The sequence below is a fragment of the Homo sapiens genome, chromosome 10, assembly GCF_000001405.40.
Source record: "Homo sapiens chromosome 10, GRCh38.p14 Primary Assembly".
NCBI classification, from domain to species: Eukaryota; Metazoa; Chordata; class Mammalia; order Primates; family Hominidae; genus Homo; species Homo sapiens.
This window is the reverse complement of record NC_000010.11, coordinates 48,324,323-48,339,749: the sequence shown is the minus strand read 5'-3', so window position 1 is coordinate 48,339,749 and position 15,427 is coordinate 48,324,323. Positions and strand designations below refer to the sequence as shown.

The window sequence follows — 15,427 nt, the reverse complement described above, 5'->3', positions numbered from 1 at the left end:
ATGTCCTTTGCCACTTTTTAATCGAGTTATTTTTTCTTATTGATTCAAATTCCTTATTTATTATGGATATCAGTCCTTTACTGGATATATAGTTTGCAAATACTTTCTTCCATTCTGTACGCTGTTTACCCTGTTTGTTTCTTTTGCTGTGCAGAAGCTCTGTAATGAAACCCCACTTGTCTAGTTTTGTTTTTGTTGCATTTGCTTTTGGGATCTTAGTCATAAATTCTTTAAATGTTCAAAAGATATTTTCCTAGGTTTTCTTCTAGAATTTTTATAGCTGGAGGTCTTAAATAAGTCTTTAATCCATCTTGAGTTAATTTTTGTATATAGTGAGAGGTAGGAGTCTATTTTCATTCTTCTACATATGGCTAGCCAGTTTTCCCAGCACCATTTATTGAATAGGGTATCCTTTCTCTATTGCTTATTTTTGTTGACTCAGTTGAAGATCAGTTCATAGCAGGTGTGTGGCTTTATTTCTGGGTTCTCTATTTTGTTCCATTGATGTATGTGTCTATCTTTGTACCAATTCCGTGCTATTTTGGTTACAATAGCCTTGCAGTATAGTCTGAAGTTGGGTAATATGATGCCTCTGGCTTTGTTCCTTTTGCTTAGATCGCTCTACCTATTTAGGCTCTATTGTATTTCCACATGAATATTAGAATTGTCTTTTCTAATTCTGTGAAAAAAAATCACATTGGTAATTTGATAGGAATTATATTGAAGTTGTAGATTGCTTTGGGCAGTATGGTCATTTAACAATGTTGATTCTTTCAATCTACAAGCATGGGACGTTTCTTCCATTTGTTTGTGTCATCTATGAATTCTTTCATCAGTGTTTTACAGTTCTTTGTAGAGATCTTTCCCTTCCTTGGTTAAATGTAATTCTAGATATTGTGTGTGTGTGGTGTGTGTGTTTGTGTGTGTCTATTGTAAATTAGTTCTTAATTTGGCTCTCAGCTTGAATGTTATTGGTGTATAGAAATGCCAGTGATTTTTGTACATTTATTTTGTATCCTCAAACTTTACTGGAGTTGTTTCTCAGGTCCAGGAGTCTTTCGGGGAATCTTTCAGGGTTTTTTTAGGTACAGGATCATGTCATCAACAAGCATATAATTTGACTTCCTCTTTGCCTATTTGGACATCTTTTATTTCTTTTGTCTGATTGCTTTGGCTAGAACTTCTAGTACTATGTTGAAAAGGAATGGTGAGAGTGGACATCCTTGTCTTGTTCTGGTTCTTAGGGGAAATGCTTTCAACTTTTGCTCATTCAGGATGATGTTGGCTGTGGGTATGTCATAAATGACTCTTACTATTTTGAGGTATGTTCCTCTGATGCCTAGGTTGTTGAGGTTTTATCATGGAGAGATGCTGGATTTTACTGCATAAGAATATGGTTTTTGTTTTTTAATTCTGTTTATGTGGTGAATTACATTTATTGATTTGTATATTCTGAACCATCCTTGTATCTAGGAAAAAACCTACCTGATCATGGTGAATTATCTTTTTTATGTGCTGCTAGATTCAGTCTGCTAGTATTTTGTTGAGGATTTTTGCCTCTATCTTCATCAGGGATGCTGGCCTGCATTTCTGTTTTTCTTTTTGTTGTTGTGTCCTTGCTAGATTTTGATATTGGGATGATACTGGTTTCAAAGAATGAGTTAGGGAGGATATCTCTCCACCTTGATTTTTTTGGAATAGTTTCAGTAAGATTGGTATCAGCTCTTCTACCAACATCTAGTAAAATCTGGCTATGAATCCTTTTGGTTCAGGGCTTTTTGTGGTTGGTAGATTTTATTATGTATTCAACGTTATAACTCGTTATTGGTCTGTTCAGGATTTTGATTTCTTCCTGGTTCACTCTTGGAAGGCTGTGTGCTTCCAGATGTTTATCTATTTCCTCTAAATTTTCTAGTTTGTGCACATAAAAATGTCCACAGTAGTCTCTAAGGATCTTTGTATTTCTATGGTATCCACTGTAATGACATCTTTGCCATTTTTGTGCTTATTTGAATCTTCTCTCTTTTCTTGGTTCATCTAGCTGGCAGTCTATCAATTTTGTTTACCCTTTAGAAGGACAAACAGAACTTTCCGTTTTGTTGATTCTGTGTGTAATTTTTTGGTCTCAATTCTGTTTAGTTCTGCACAAATCTTTGTTATTTCTTTTGTTCTGCTAGCTTTCAGGTTGGTTTGTTCTTATTTTGCTAGTTCCTTTAGGGGCAATGTTAGGTTGTTAATTTGAGATCTTTCTTTTGATGTAGGAATTTAGCACTAAAATTTTCCTCTTAACTCTATTTTGCTATATCCTAGAGGTTTTCATATATTGTTTCTATTTTCATTTGTTCCAAAAAAAATTGTATTTCTGCCTTAATTTTGTTTAGCCAAACGTCATTCAGGAGCAAACTGTTTCATTTCCATGTACTTACGTGGCTTTCAGAGTTATTCTTGGTATTGATTTCTAATTTTATTCAACTGTGGTCCAAACAGATGCTTGGTATGATTTCTGCTTTTTTGAATTTATTGAGACTTGCTTTATGACTGAGCATGTGGTCATTTTTAGAGCATGCAAAGATGAGTAAAATGTGTATTCTGTGGTTGTTGGGTAGGGTATTCTGTACGTGTGTATTACGTCCATTTGGTCAAAACTTCAATTTAAGTCGAGAATTTGTTAGTTTTCTGCGGTGATCTGTCCAGTGCTGTCAGTGGGCTGTTGCAGTCCTCCACTATTATTGTGTGGTTGTCTCGTTTTCCTAAGTCTAGTAGTATTTGTTTTATAAATGTGGGTGCTACAACACTGGGTATGGCATATATACCTAGGAGATACAAATCTTGTTGAATTAAATCCTTTGTCATTATATAATGCCCTTGTCTTTTGTTACTGTTGTTGGTTTAATATCTGTGTTATCTGATACAACAATAGCAACACCTTCTCTTTAAAAAACCTATAAAGTGCTGAGAAATAAAAGTTCCATTCCAGAAATGCCTACCTTTTGCCTTTTTCACTGGCATTCTCTTACATGTGTACAGCAGTTTTCCAGGGGCTAAGCAACCCACAGGGTTATCACAATAGGTTATATTATTTTTTCTTTTGAAAAAGTTATTTTTCATAAAATTTTATGTTAACTTTAACTGGGTTATTACTTTGTCAATGAACTGATGAATAAATATTTTTTAGAGTTCTTAGTTTTAATTTCTAATAGAGTAAATTTCAATAGCTATAGCCTATATAAAGCACCTTGAGATATTCAATAATTTTTAACAACACAGACATTCCAAAACTCTTAAAAAGTTTGAGAATTGCTGCTTTTAGAAGTAGGAGCCACATCAAATTATTCCCTCATGATATCACAGGGCCTGTGAGGAACTTTTTTACTGCAAATTTAATTTCCTTAATAAATACGTAGCTGTTTTCTTGTGTAAATCTGGGCAATGAATATTTTTTAAAAGAGTGTTCCATTTCATCTACATTGTTTCTTAGCTTTTGAGTGTTTATAATATTCCTTTATTCTTTTAATATCTGCCATATATGTTGTGATGTCCATCTTTCACTCCACATACTGATAATCTGTGGTTCTTTTTTTTAATACTCATCAGTCAGGGTAGAAATTTAACAATCTTACTATTTCCAAAAATTCTTAATTACATAAATCTTGACCGTCAAATACCTGATACAGATGGAGTTTTCTGCTAGCCCTGTCAGTCCTCAAACCACACTATGACAATGGTGGTATAAAGAAACACATTTGAAAGATCTGCAGGCCTCACTAAATCAGTATTTTCCAAATGACTAATACATGATGTTTCAAACTTATAAATGGGCAAAACACTCATTTAAAACGCAAGATAGACAAATGGATTTTAATATAATAGAATATGAAAAATTTATTAATATAGTTTCAGATTCTCCCTGCAGTTACCTTGTTAAATTCTGGTGTAGCACATATAAAAGAGGAATATCCACATTATCTGTTATGATGAAATGGGAAGTATACATAAGCACTGTTGCTATATACTGAAGTACAGGGGCCATTGCAGGAAAAGCACTTGTGAGACATGTTTTTAAATAATACAATTTTTACTTGAAAGAATGACACACAAACTATGTTATTTGGGCTAGGGTATGTGGAAGACATTTTCTTGAAAATGAACAAAGTGTGCCTATCACTTCAAGAAAAATAAATGACAGTATTTATTGCCAATGAAAAAATTAAAACTATCAAGTGAAAATTAAAATTTTGCAAAATTTGTATCTATCCCTGTGCAGGATCCAATGATTTTGCTGGTGAGATGAGTAGTAAGTAATAAATAATTTTTTGATATTATATAATATGGCAGCTGTCAAACTTTTTGGTTATCACTATTCCTTTATACTTTTTAAACAAAGAACTTTGTTAACAGAAGCTTTTATTTATGTTGATATATCAATATTTAATATATTAAACAGAAGTGAGCACTTAAACTTTTTAAAATTTATTTAAACATAATAAACTTCCACTGCATGATTAACTAGAATTTTGATGGAAAACGACAATTTAAAAAAAAGGAAAACCTGGTGAAAAGAGTGCCATTGTGTGAGAAAACATTTTAAATGATCCATTTTCAAGGCATGCTAAATCTAAGTACTGGCAGTCAACCTGCAGATGTGACAAACCACACAGCTCATGCACCTAGAAAGTCACTATAAGTGATCAGAATGTAGAGGAGGGGTCAGCCCATGAAAGGGAAAAGTTTTGCTATCGGAAAATCGAAACTTAAGTGAGGAAGGGGACTGGGGTATAACCTTATAAGGGGGATAATGAAACTTAGGCAACGTCTGGGAAGATTGTAACCCCATAGTACTCGACCAGTGAGGAAATGGGGGAGAGACTTGCGTGCTAGGAGATAAATTACCTGCTGTAACTGCCGTGGGTGTGTGTGCCTACCAGACACCTAGATCTTGCAAGACTGCCACTAAAAGTCTTACTTCCGCTGTTCTTCATGTCTCCGAGTCCATTATTTGGGTTTGGACGGGTGAATGTTTCCCTTACAAACTTGGGGGCCCGTCTGGGATCTTTATGCCTGCGTAGAGTCAGACTCCGGCCGAAAAGGGAGATGAATCTCACCCGATTTAGGTGGCCCGCTCTGTCTGAGTGTCCCAGCTCCTTGCAAAGGCCATAGACAAACCTGAGACTGTTATTCAGGAGGCAGTGGAGGTGACATACGGAGAAAAGCAGGCACTGCAGCAACCAGGAAACCTCATGCACAAGCCAAGGTAGGAAAATTGGACTCTAAGTACTGCCTTGGTGGTTGGGCATTTTTGGAGGTCGAGTGTGTGTGACTGAGACGTATCCCAGATATAAGGCAAGTGCAGAGTCCCAATCTGCAGTTCCGTTCTGCGAGGGAAACGGCCAGAGACAGACAAAGCGATTCTCGGGGTGTGCAAGAAACCTCCAGTTGGGGAGTTGAGTACACAGGGAAAAGCTCAGACACAGAGACTGACTGAAAATGAGAAACAGAAATTCTAGGCTTAGGGGACAAAGGAAAGAGGGAGCCAAAGAGACTCCATCTGACATTCCTCTGGATAGTCCCTTGGGTTTACTCTCCACTCTCCTTCACTAATGAGGTGTCCTAAACACAGGGCTTCTGTGGAGCCGTCCTGCAGCTCTGACATCTATGAGTCAGCAGCCAGGAAAGGTGCAGGCCCCAGCAAAGAGGAGCAGAGGCGCCCGGAACATGCTGTCCACCAATGCCAGCCCCAAGTGGGGCCAGCTCAGCGGGTGGTGGGTGGAGCCATCCAGCAGCTCTGAGATCCAGGAGGTGGAGATGGCAGAAGCGCCAGGCTCCACTGCTTTGGAGCCTGCACAACCAGATTTGGGAGCTGTGACTTGCAGCAAATTGGCGACCAGAAGATGCCCAAAGGTAGGGAGGCCACAGATACTGTTTGGCCTTAGGATTTCCTCTGGCCGTTGCTGACCCAACGTTCCCCCGCAGAGGCATCCACAGCCTGGGGCTCCCCTTTCCTGCCCCTAGTTAGCTTTCCTAGGCCCAGGCCCCAAACAGGAGGACTGGCTCTGCCCCGTGTCCCCACCCCTTCTTCTTTCCCTGTTGCATCCGGCCGGTCAAGTTATTAGAAGAGGAACCTGATCACTTGCAGTGGTCCTCAGAAGAAATTCAGGCAGTGAAAGAGCTAAACCAGGCCCTCATTACAGCCCTGGCCCTCCCATCTTTAGAGAACCCATTCCACCTGTTTCTAACAGTAGACTAGGGCATGGCCCTTGGAGTGCTCACTCAAATATGGGGTGGGAAAAGGCAACCTGCTGCTTTTGTCTCCAAGCTTCTCAATCCTGTCTCTCAAGGGTAGCCCAAATGTGTGCAAACAATAGCTGCCACAGACCTGCTGGTAGAGGAGACTAGAAAGCTAACCTTTGGTGGGGCCCTAATAGTAAGCACCCCACACCTAGTCAGGAATATATTAAATCAAAGAGCTGGAAGATGGTTAACTGATTCTCGGATTCTAAAATATGAGGCTGTATTACTAGAAAAAGATGACTTGGTCGTAACAACAAATACTTGCCTGAATCCAGACAGTTTTCTAGGGAAAGGAGAGGAGAACAAAGAGACATCAGATCATAACTGCTTAGGTATCATAGAATACCAAACCAAAGTTAGACCAGACCTTAGGGAAGCTCTACTACATGATGAGATAAGGCTGTTTGTGGATGGGCTGTCTCCAGTGACAGATGGCAAGGGACATAACAGTGATGGTGTCATTGATGGAAATAAACACTCCTTATGTGAGAAAGGAAGATTACCTAATTGCTGGTTAGCCCAAACCTGTGAATTATTATGCTCTTAACCAGGCCCTAAAGCTCCTTGAAGGCCAAAAAGGCACTATATACACTGAATTTAAGTATGCCTACTTAAAATCCAAAGTGGTACACACTTTTGGAAAAATCTGGACAGAGTGGGGCCTAATAAATAGCAGGAGAAAATAATTGGTACATTTGGAACTGGCCAAACAGGTTTTAGAAAGCCTCTTGCTTCCAGCAGAGGTAGCCATAGTTCATGTAAATGGTTTTCAGAAAGGGAACACCACAGAAGCTGTAGCAAACAGGTTTGCAGCTGAAGCTGCTAAGCAAGCCTCCCTGGAGGAAGAAATTAGACTATTTAGCCTGATCCCAGACATCCCTAAGGTAGTATTAAGGCCCCAGTTTATCAGAGAGAAGAAAGAAGAATTAGACAGGATAGGGGTCACTCAAACTGAAGATGAGATGGATACTTCCCGATGGAAGAAAAATAAGTAAACCCCTGATGAGAGAGCTAACGTCTATATTACACAAAAGGAGTCATTGGGGATCCCCGACTCTGCATGATGCAACAGGGTATGGGTGTACAGGGATTTATACCCCTGCTAAACAAGTATGTGGAAGTTGCGTAACTTGTCAAAGGATAAACAAAAAGGTGATCAGAAAACAGGCCACAGGAGGAAGACCTCCCAGACTAAGACCATTTCAAAGCATTCAAGTAGATTTCACAGAAATGCCCAAAGGAGGAAGACTGATATATTTACTGGTGATCGTAGGTCACCTTTCCAGCTGGGTGGAAGCCTTTCCCCTTCCAACAGCCACTGCCAGTAATGTGGTCAAAATAATATTAGAACAGACTGTACCTAGATTTGACCTGGTAGAAAATATTGATTCAAACAATGGGAGCCACTTTATCTCAAGGGTGTTAAGGGGAATTATGGAAGGTTTACAAATTAGATGAGATTATCATACCCCTTGGCATCCCCCTTCCTCTGGAAAGGTAGAAAGAATGAATCAAACTCTCAAAAAGCATAATCACCAAACTAATCTAGAAACTAAAATACCCTGGACCAAATGTCTCCCAATAGTACTCCTTAGGATTATGACAGCCCCAAGAAAATACTTGGGATTATCCCCCTATGAGTTATTATAGGGGCACCCATATTTGGGCAGAGCTACAGATCCTCCCTACTATGGAAACCATGGATCAATGCTTAAGAAATTATATACTGGCCATATCCTCCACCCTGTCATCCCTTAGGTTAAGAGGACTTCTGACTCAAATGCCACCTCTTGAGTTCACGGTTCACCACTTCCAGCCTGGCAACTTGGTGCTGATTAAGATTTGGAAAGAAGACAAGCTCCACCCAAGCTGGGAAGGTCCCCACTAAGATAGCTGTGCAAACAGCTGAACAGGGGTGGACTCACTATCCTTGAGTCAAGGGATTGGTAAAAGAGACCCTGGAAGGGAGGGGAAAAGACCAGTGGAAAGTGCACTGAGGAACCCTTAAAGTTAACTCTGAGAAAAATCTAAAAAGAAAACATGGGTTGGCCCCATTTCTCGAAGTTAATATGGCTGGGATGGGCTACTATACAAAAAGCAGAAGGTCAAAATGGAAACTGGCAGGGGACTCCTCCCTATCCAATGAGGTTGGTAATTAGTGTAACCAAGACAGTAGCATCCCAGACTGTAAGATTTGATGCCTGCCAGGTCTTACCTTGTGGGAATTTGGAAAATCAGGGATAGCTCTCGCAGGCAGATAAGTACCTTTGCCCTGAACCAGATACAGGTTACAGTAGAGCATCATCCTGCCCCACCCAGCTGGGATGATGTATGGTAGACTACCCATTTTCAGGGTTGGACAGTAAACGGGGTGGGTAACTCTAAGCTGGAGACCCTTGAAGAATAAACTACATCTGTCCAAGGGCTCCCTGCCAAATAACTGCCACAATTTAGAATGCAATCCTATACTCATCACCAATGACAATCCATCCATTCTAGACCGAGAAACAAATCTAAGTACTGGCAGTCAGCCTGCGGATGTGACAAATTGCATGGCTCATGCACCTATAAAGTCATGATAAGTGATCAGAATGTAGAGGAGGGGTCAGCCCATAAAAGGGAAGAAAGTTTTGCTATTGGGAAATTGAAAGTTACGGGGGGAAGGGGACTGGAGTATAACCTTTTAAGGGGGATAATGAAACTTAGGCAACGTCCGGGAAGACTGTAACCCCATAGTACTCGACCAGTGAGGAACTGGGGAAGAGACCTGCGTGCTAGGAGATAAATTACCTGCTGTACCTGCCCCGGGTGTGCCTGCCTACCAGACACCTGATCTTGCAAGACTGCCATTGAAAGTCTCACTTCCGCTGTTCTTCATGTCTCTGAGTCCATTCATTGGGTTTGGACGGGTGAATGTGTTTCTCACACATTGTTCTACATTTCTGCAAATCCCTTTATGGTCTGGCTTAATTTCAGACAGCTGGGTTCTCTCATTTGCTTCTATACAGTCTGTTGCCACATCACAGGGCAAGTCACATGGCCTCAGAAAAACTCTTGAGAACAGACATGAAAAAGGCAAATAACACTTCTAGTATTATATGAAAACATTCTTGACTTCAGAGAACCCCTGAAACATCTTCCTATTAAGTTAAAGTTTAAAACTCCTTCCTGTTAAATAAAGAGATGGCAGTCTTAGCATACTTATACAAAAAAAGCAATGCTGCAAATCTCTTATTTTATAAAAATTATTTCTCTATTAAGAATACATTTCTTTTAAACAAAATCTATTTCCTAGACTTAAATAAAAGCAGTTATCAGTACTCTAGTCCTCAATTAACGTAAGCTAATATGATTTTTGTATCCTTACAAATTATACATGTGTGTACCCATGTATATAAATCTCTCTCACATGTGCACAAAATACATAAAAAGAAGTACACCAAAATATTACTAGCTATAGGTACTTTTAATCTTTACCTTTTTCCTAAATATTTTATATTTGCCGTTAGTTTAAAAAAAATTTTTTTAAATGCTTCCTGTTGCTCTCTTCCTCTCATCAGCAGTAGTTAATATTATTTTCAAAAAGAGTATGCCCTGACCTTGGGGAACCAGAAAGTTTTACTTAATTACAATTATGAAGAAGCAGAGCAAGGATAAAAATAAACCAGTAAATAGGATGCAATGGACCCTATGTTAACACATCAAAGAACTGGAATTTAGAATTGTGATCTAAGAATCTAGGATTTCCAGTAACATATGTTCTTCCCATAAAATAATGATTCTTCCTCTGTAGTTCCAGCAGTAACTATGTACACCAATAAAACAGTTACACACATTTAGCTCTCTGTGCCTTATGAAGTGTTTTCACTTATTCTTTGATCTTATATCATCACTGACTACACTACTTTAAAATTCATACTCTAAATGAATTTAATTTTTTTTTTAAAAAAAAAGGAGGCCTCATCTTTTTACACATTATCACTATTCAAGATAACGTTGTCTCATGGCCAGAGTTGCAGCAAAGGGCCAACTAACTCAAAGCAATACACCGCTCTGAATTCTTCCAATTAGGGATCTCAAAACGTTATTGCTTAATTAACTGGTGCTCGCAATGCCATACTAAGGCTTATGGTAATAAGAGTGACACCCATTATACTATAATTAATAAGAGAAGAGGAAAGCAAGATGCAGAATCACAAACAACTTTTTCGACTTAACTAGCAGAGGAAAGAGGGGCAGCACAAAGCAGTGGCTAGGAGTCTGGCGTCTGGAGCCAACTGTCTGGATTCAGACTCTGGCCCTGCCACTCGTGTATGACCCTGCGCAAGTTACTTAACTTCATCTTGCCTGAGTTTCCCCATCTATGAGGGAGAGAGGAGAATAACCATATCTACCAGCAAGGTTAAAATAATTAAATGAGTTACTATTTGTAAGTGTTGGCACATAATATTTGTTAAAAGTAAAAGAAAAACCCTGAAGCTAAAGTTGGAAACGCTTTACTAAGTAATGAAACAACTGTAGAGATGCAGAAAAATCAAATTAGATAATTCAGAATACCGCATCCTCAATTTCTGAACTTCTTAAAAAGGTGTGGTTTTCAACTATCTCTTAGCAAAAGTACAAACTGGCAAAGTATAAATTACTTTCAGAGATGCCATAGAAGAGTTTGGCTGGATACAGTTAAAGTGTCTTTTTGCTTATATAAATTGAACAGGAAAATGTTCTGTTTTTAAGACAAGTTTTAAGACATTAAATACTAGCATCAACAGGACACCTCAGTTGCTCTTGTTGACTACCAAAAAAAGGCAAAAGTGCTGATCTCAATGTGTCAAATCTGTTTAAAGTTTAGATGAAAGAAGTGAGCAATCACATAAAATTAAGACTGAAGCCAACTTCCTAAAGAAAAGGAGTGTCCCAGGTTAAGGCAAGATAAGTACAGGTTGAAATACATTTTATCCTGCCAGAAAGCAAGGAAGCATTCAACGATCAACCAGGTCAGATCAAAATGGACACAGCAGCCACCTCAAGAGACTCTCACTGGCCAAATGTGAGACAACTGATCATCAAAAAGAGTAACACCTAAAGTGAGCAGAAGAAAAAAAAGAATTACAGTCAAAATCAGTGAAATTAAAAACAGGAAAATACAAAGAAAAAAAAAAAAGCTGGCTCATTGAAAATATAAATAAAACTGTTAAACCTCTAGCCAGACTAATCAAGAAGTTCGAGACCACCCTGGCCAACATGGTGAAATCCCCATTTCTACTAAAAAATACAAAAATTAGCTGGGCATGGCGGCATGTACCTGTAATCCCAGCTACTTGGAAGGCTGAGGCAGGAAAATCGCTTGAACCCAGGAGGCTGAGGTTGCAGTGAGCCAAGATCGCACCACTGCATTCCAGCCTGGGTGACAGTGAGACTCTTTGTCTCAAAAAAAACAAAAGAAGAAAAAGAGAGAAGGCACAAATTACTAATGTAACAAATGGAAGAGGGGTCATCATTACTTATCCCAAGTACATTAAAAGTACAACAAAGGAATACTATGAACAACTCTGTACACCAAAAATTTAGTAAGATGAAATAAGCCAATATTCTGTGAAAGACACAATCTACCAAAGTTCTCACAAAGAAAAACAGATAACCTGAACAAACCTGTTAACTATTAAAGAAACTATATCAATAATCTGAATAGATCTGTATCTATTAGAAAATTGAATCAACAGTTATTAACCTTTTAAAACAGAAAACACCAGGCCTGAACAGTTTTACTGGTGAATTATTCCAAACATTTAAGGAAAAAAGTGATACCAATTCTCTACAATCTCTTGCAGAAAATAAAAACAGAAGGAACATTTCCTGACTTATTCTAAAAGAGCAGCCTTACTCTAATAATAATAAAACAAAGAGATGGTAAGAAAAGAAAGCTACAGACCAGTATCTTTCATGAACACAGGTAACAAAAATCCTCAACAAAATATTAGTAAATTGAATCCAATAATGTAGAAAAGGAATTATTCACCATAACCAGGAGAGATTTATCCCAGGTATGCAAGGCTGGTTCTAAAATCTACTAATGTAACCCTAATCCACCACATCAACAGGCTAATGAAGATAAATCAAATGGTCATATCAATGGATGCAGACAAAGCGTCTGACAAAATCTAACACCACTCATGATGAAAACGGTCAGAAAACCAAGAATGGAGAAGAATTTCCTCAATTTGATTTTTTAAAAAAATCTACTCTACTCCCCTCAAAAAACCCTCTACAGTGAACATAGTACTTAATGGTGAAAAACTACTTTCCCCCCAAGAACAAGAATAAGGCAAAAATGTCTCCTCCCATTACTCCTATTCAACATCATACCTAAAGTCCTAAATACTGCAATAAGACAATAAAAGGGAAGAAAAGGCATGCAGACGGAGGGGGGAAAAGAAATAAAACTGTTTCTGTTTGCAGATGACATGATTGTCCACTTAGAAATTTCTGAAGAATTGAACAACAAAAAACAAACAAACAAACAAAAAACACTCCTAGTTGATACAGCTGTTTCCATTGGGTGTGAGTTAACAATTCTGATACTGCTATAAGACCTATGTTGGAATTGAACAACTAAGTAAATAAATGGTGTGTGCTGGGAGGCAGGTTTCCCGCTATTGGAGGAAATTTACTGGTCAGTAACGGGAGGACCAGGAATGATCCGTATGGTAATAGATTAGAGTTGAAGACATTAAGAATTCATGTTTAGCTTATATAGATACAGATGGTTACAAATATTTATGCACATATAAATACTGATATATAATATTAAATACTTATATCTCTCTCTAGACACATAGATATACAGATATTTCTAATATATGAATATATTTATTTGCTCTATCTGCTGAGAGTACCTAAAACACAACATCCCAGTAGCAACAAGGGCACCTAGATCTTTGTTTCTAATACCATTTTCTAATTAAAGGAAACAGTGCTCCTTAGAGAAACGGCTGATCCCAGGACTAGGGTAGAAAACATACAAGATGAGCTGGGAGTATCCTGCAGTGCCAGAAAGTAAGTGCTCACAAAACACCCACACCGATGGAAGTATGTCACAGGCACAGGAGCTAACTAAAGGGGTTCCCAATGGCCAAATCTGAAACAATGTGTGTAGCAAAATTAAGTATTAATAGTATTGGACTATAACCCAAAGTATAAAATAAGCAACCATGAGTCCATACTGATATAAATGACTGAACAAATTACTAAATGGGAGAAAATAAAAATCTCCTGCACAGAAGGATTCCAAATATTAATAATTTATGTAGATACTCTGCCATCAAGAAGCAGGACATAACTCCCTAAAGTGTGGGCTGTGCATGGTCACCTTTCCCCAGTATTACAGTATGAAAAGGAGGAAAAAAGAGTAACTTTACAATGGAAAAATCAGACAAACATTACCTCAGCCAGGTGATCAAAGTCAAAATCAAGTCATAAATTATGTTAACAGTACATACCCTTGACAGGATGTGATGAAATGATGCTTTACCTCTGTGATTTTCCTTCTAGAAACCCATAAGGCCAGTCTAAAAATGAGAAAAACATCAAATTCCAATAAAACGGTATCCTACAAAATATTTGAGCAGTCAAGGTAATCACAAAAAGGAATATCTGAGAAACTCACAGCTAAGAAATCCTAAGGAGATATGACAACAAAATGTAATGTGGTATTCCAGATGGGATCTTGAAAAAACAAAACAAAAACACTAGCTAAAAACTAAGAAAAGCTGAATAAGCTATGGATTTTAGTTAATAATGTACCAATACTTTTCACTAATTGTAATAAATGTGCCATGCAAACATACGATGTTAATTATAGGAGAAATTGGGTCTGGGGTATATGGAAACTGTAGTATATACTCAATTTTTCTGTAAAACTAAAACTTCTACAAATGAAGACTATTTTAAAAAGAATGACTGAAATGATCATAAAACTTCTGAAAAAAACAAAAATCCCTGTGATACAGAGAGACTGAAAGTTATGTGCCACTTTTTGAAGATGACTACTCCAAATTGGTTAAATTTTCAAAATTGGTATGTTAAAAAGAGTTGGTATATTGAAGAGAAATAAACATTTATCTCATCTTGTTAGGAAGAACTGTAGTTCAATCCCAGTTGACAAGAGGGAAAGGTCTTCTTAACAGAGGAAAGCTGGTTAATATTAATTGATCAAGAAGGATGACAGGCGGGAGGCCAAGGTGGGCAGATCACTTGAGGTCAGGAGTTCGAGACCAGCCTGGCCAATATGGTGAAACCCCATCTCTACTAAAAATATGAAAATTAGCCAGGCATGGTGGCACGTGCCTGTAGTCCCAGCTACTCGGGAGGCAGAGGTGAGAGAATCGCTTGAACCCAGGAGGTGGAGGTTGCAGTGACCAGAGATTGTGCCACTGCACTCCAGCCTGGGTGACAGAGCAAGACTCCATCTCAAAAAAAAAAGGATGATAGGGTTAGAAAAACAAAAAAACACCATTTGCAAGCCCAAATGAAATAACTGATTCAAAGCTCACCAAGAGACTCAACACACAGGTAAAAGGCTGCTGGAAAACAGGATATTCAAAGGGAACCAAAACGTCATCTCACTGATCTGCTGATTGTCAAGGGGAAACCCATTGTTATAATGGATAGATCTGGTGAATACCACCTTAACACCAAATGATCACACTTTAGGCAAACCACCTGATGCCTGTGTTATGAGTCAATATAACGTACACAGGAGTAACTAAGCCAAAAAAAAACTAAATATAATCCAGTCTTTAGGCTCAATCTTCTACTTTAGGAAATACAGTGGGAATTGAGATAAAAGTTAATTGCTACAAGAAAATCAGACAAATCCAAAATATGGGAAACATTCTATATGACAAATGGCCTGGTCTCTTCAAGAAGCCAATATCATGAGTGTAAAAAAAAAAAAAAAAACTAGAAAACAGGACAACTGTTGTATAAGTGACTAAAGCAACAACGATCAAATGTGGTTCATAAACTGATTGAATATTGGTTTGAAAAAAGCAGTTACAAGTTGACCTTTTTGGAGGAGAGGGGCAGAATAAGATGGAAGAATAGGACTCTCCAGTGATTGTCCCCTAACAGAAACATCAAT

At 38.2% G+C, this 15,427-nt stretch overlaps 1 protein-coding gene across 26 annotated transcripts in view; it reads right to left on the bottom strand.

Moving 5' to 3' along the window:
* The window catches only part of MAPK8 (mitogen-activated protein kinase 8), a 132,684-nt gene that overhangs the window by 99,611 nt on the left and 17,646 nt on the right, over nt 1–15,427 (bottom strand). For 13 of the 26 annotated variants that reach the window (XM_047425482.1, XM_047425480.1, NM_001323302.2 and 10 more), the window contains one exon: nt 13,785–13,853. The exons of the other annotated variants lie outside the window; for them this stretch is intronic. The gene's annotated coding sequence lies outside the window, so the exon portion shown is untranslated. The remainder of the gene's footprint in view (nt 1–13,784; nt 13,854–15,427) is intronic. 26 annotated transcript variants of the gene reach the window in all.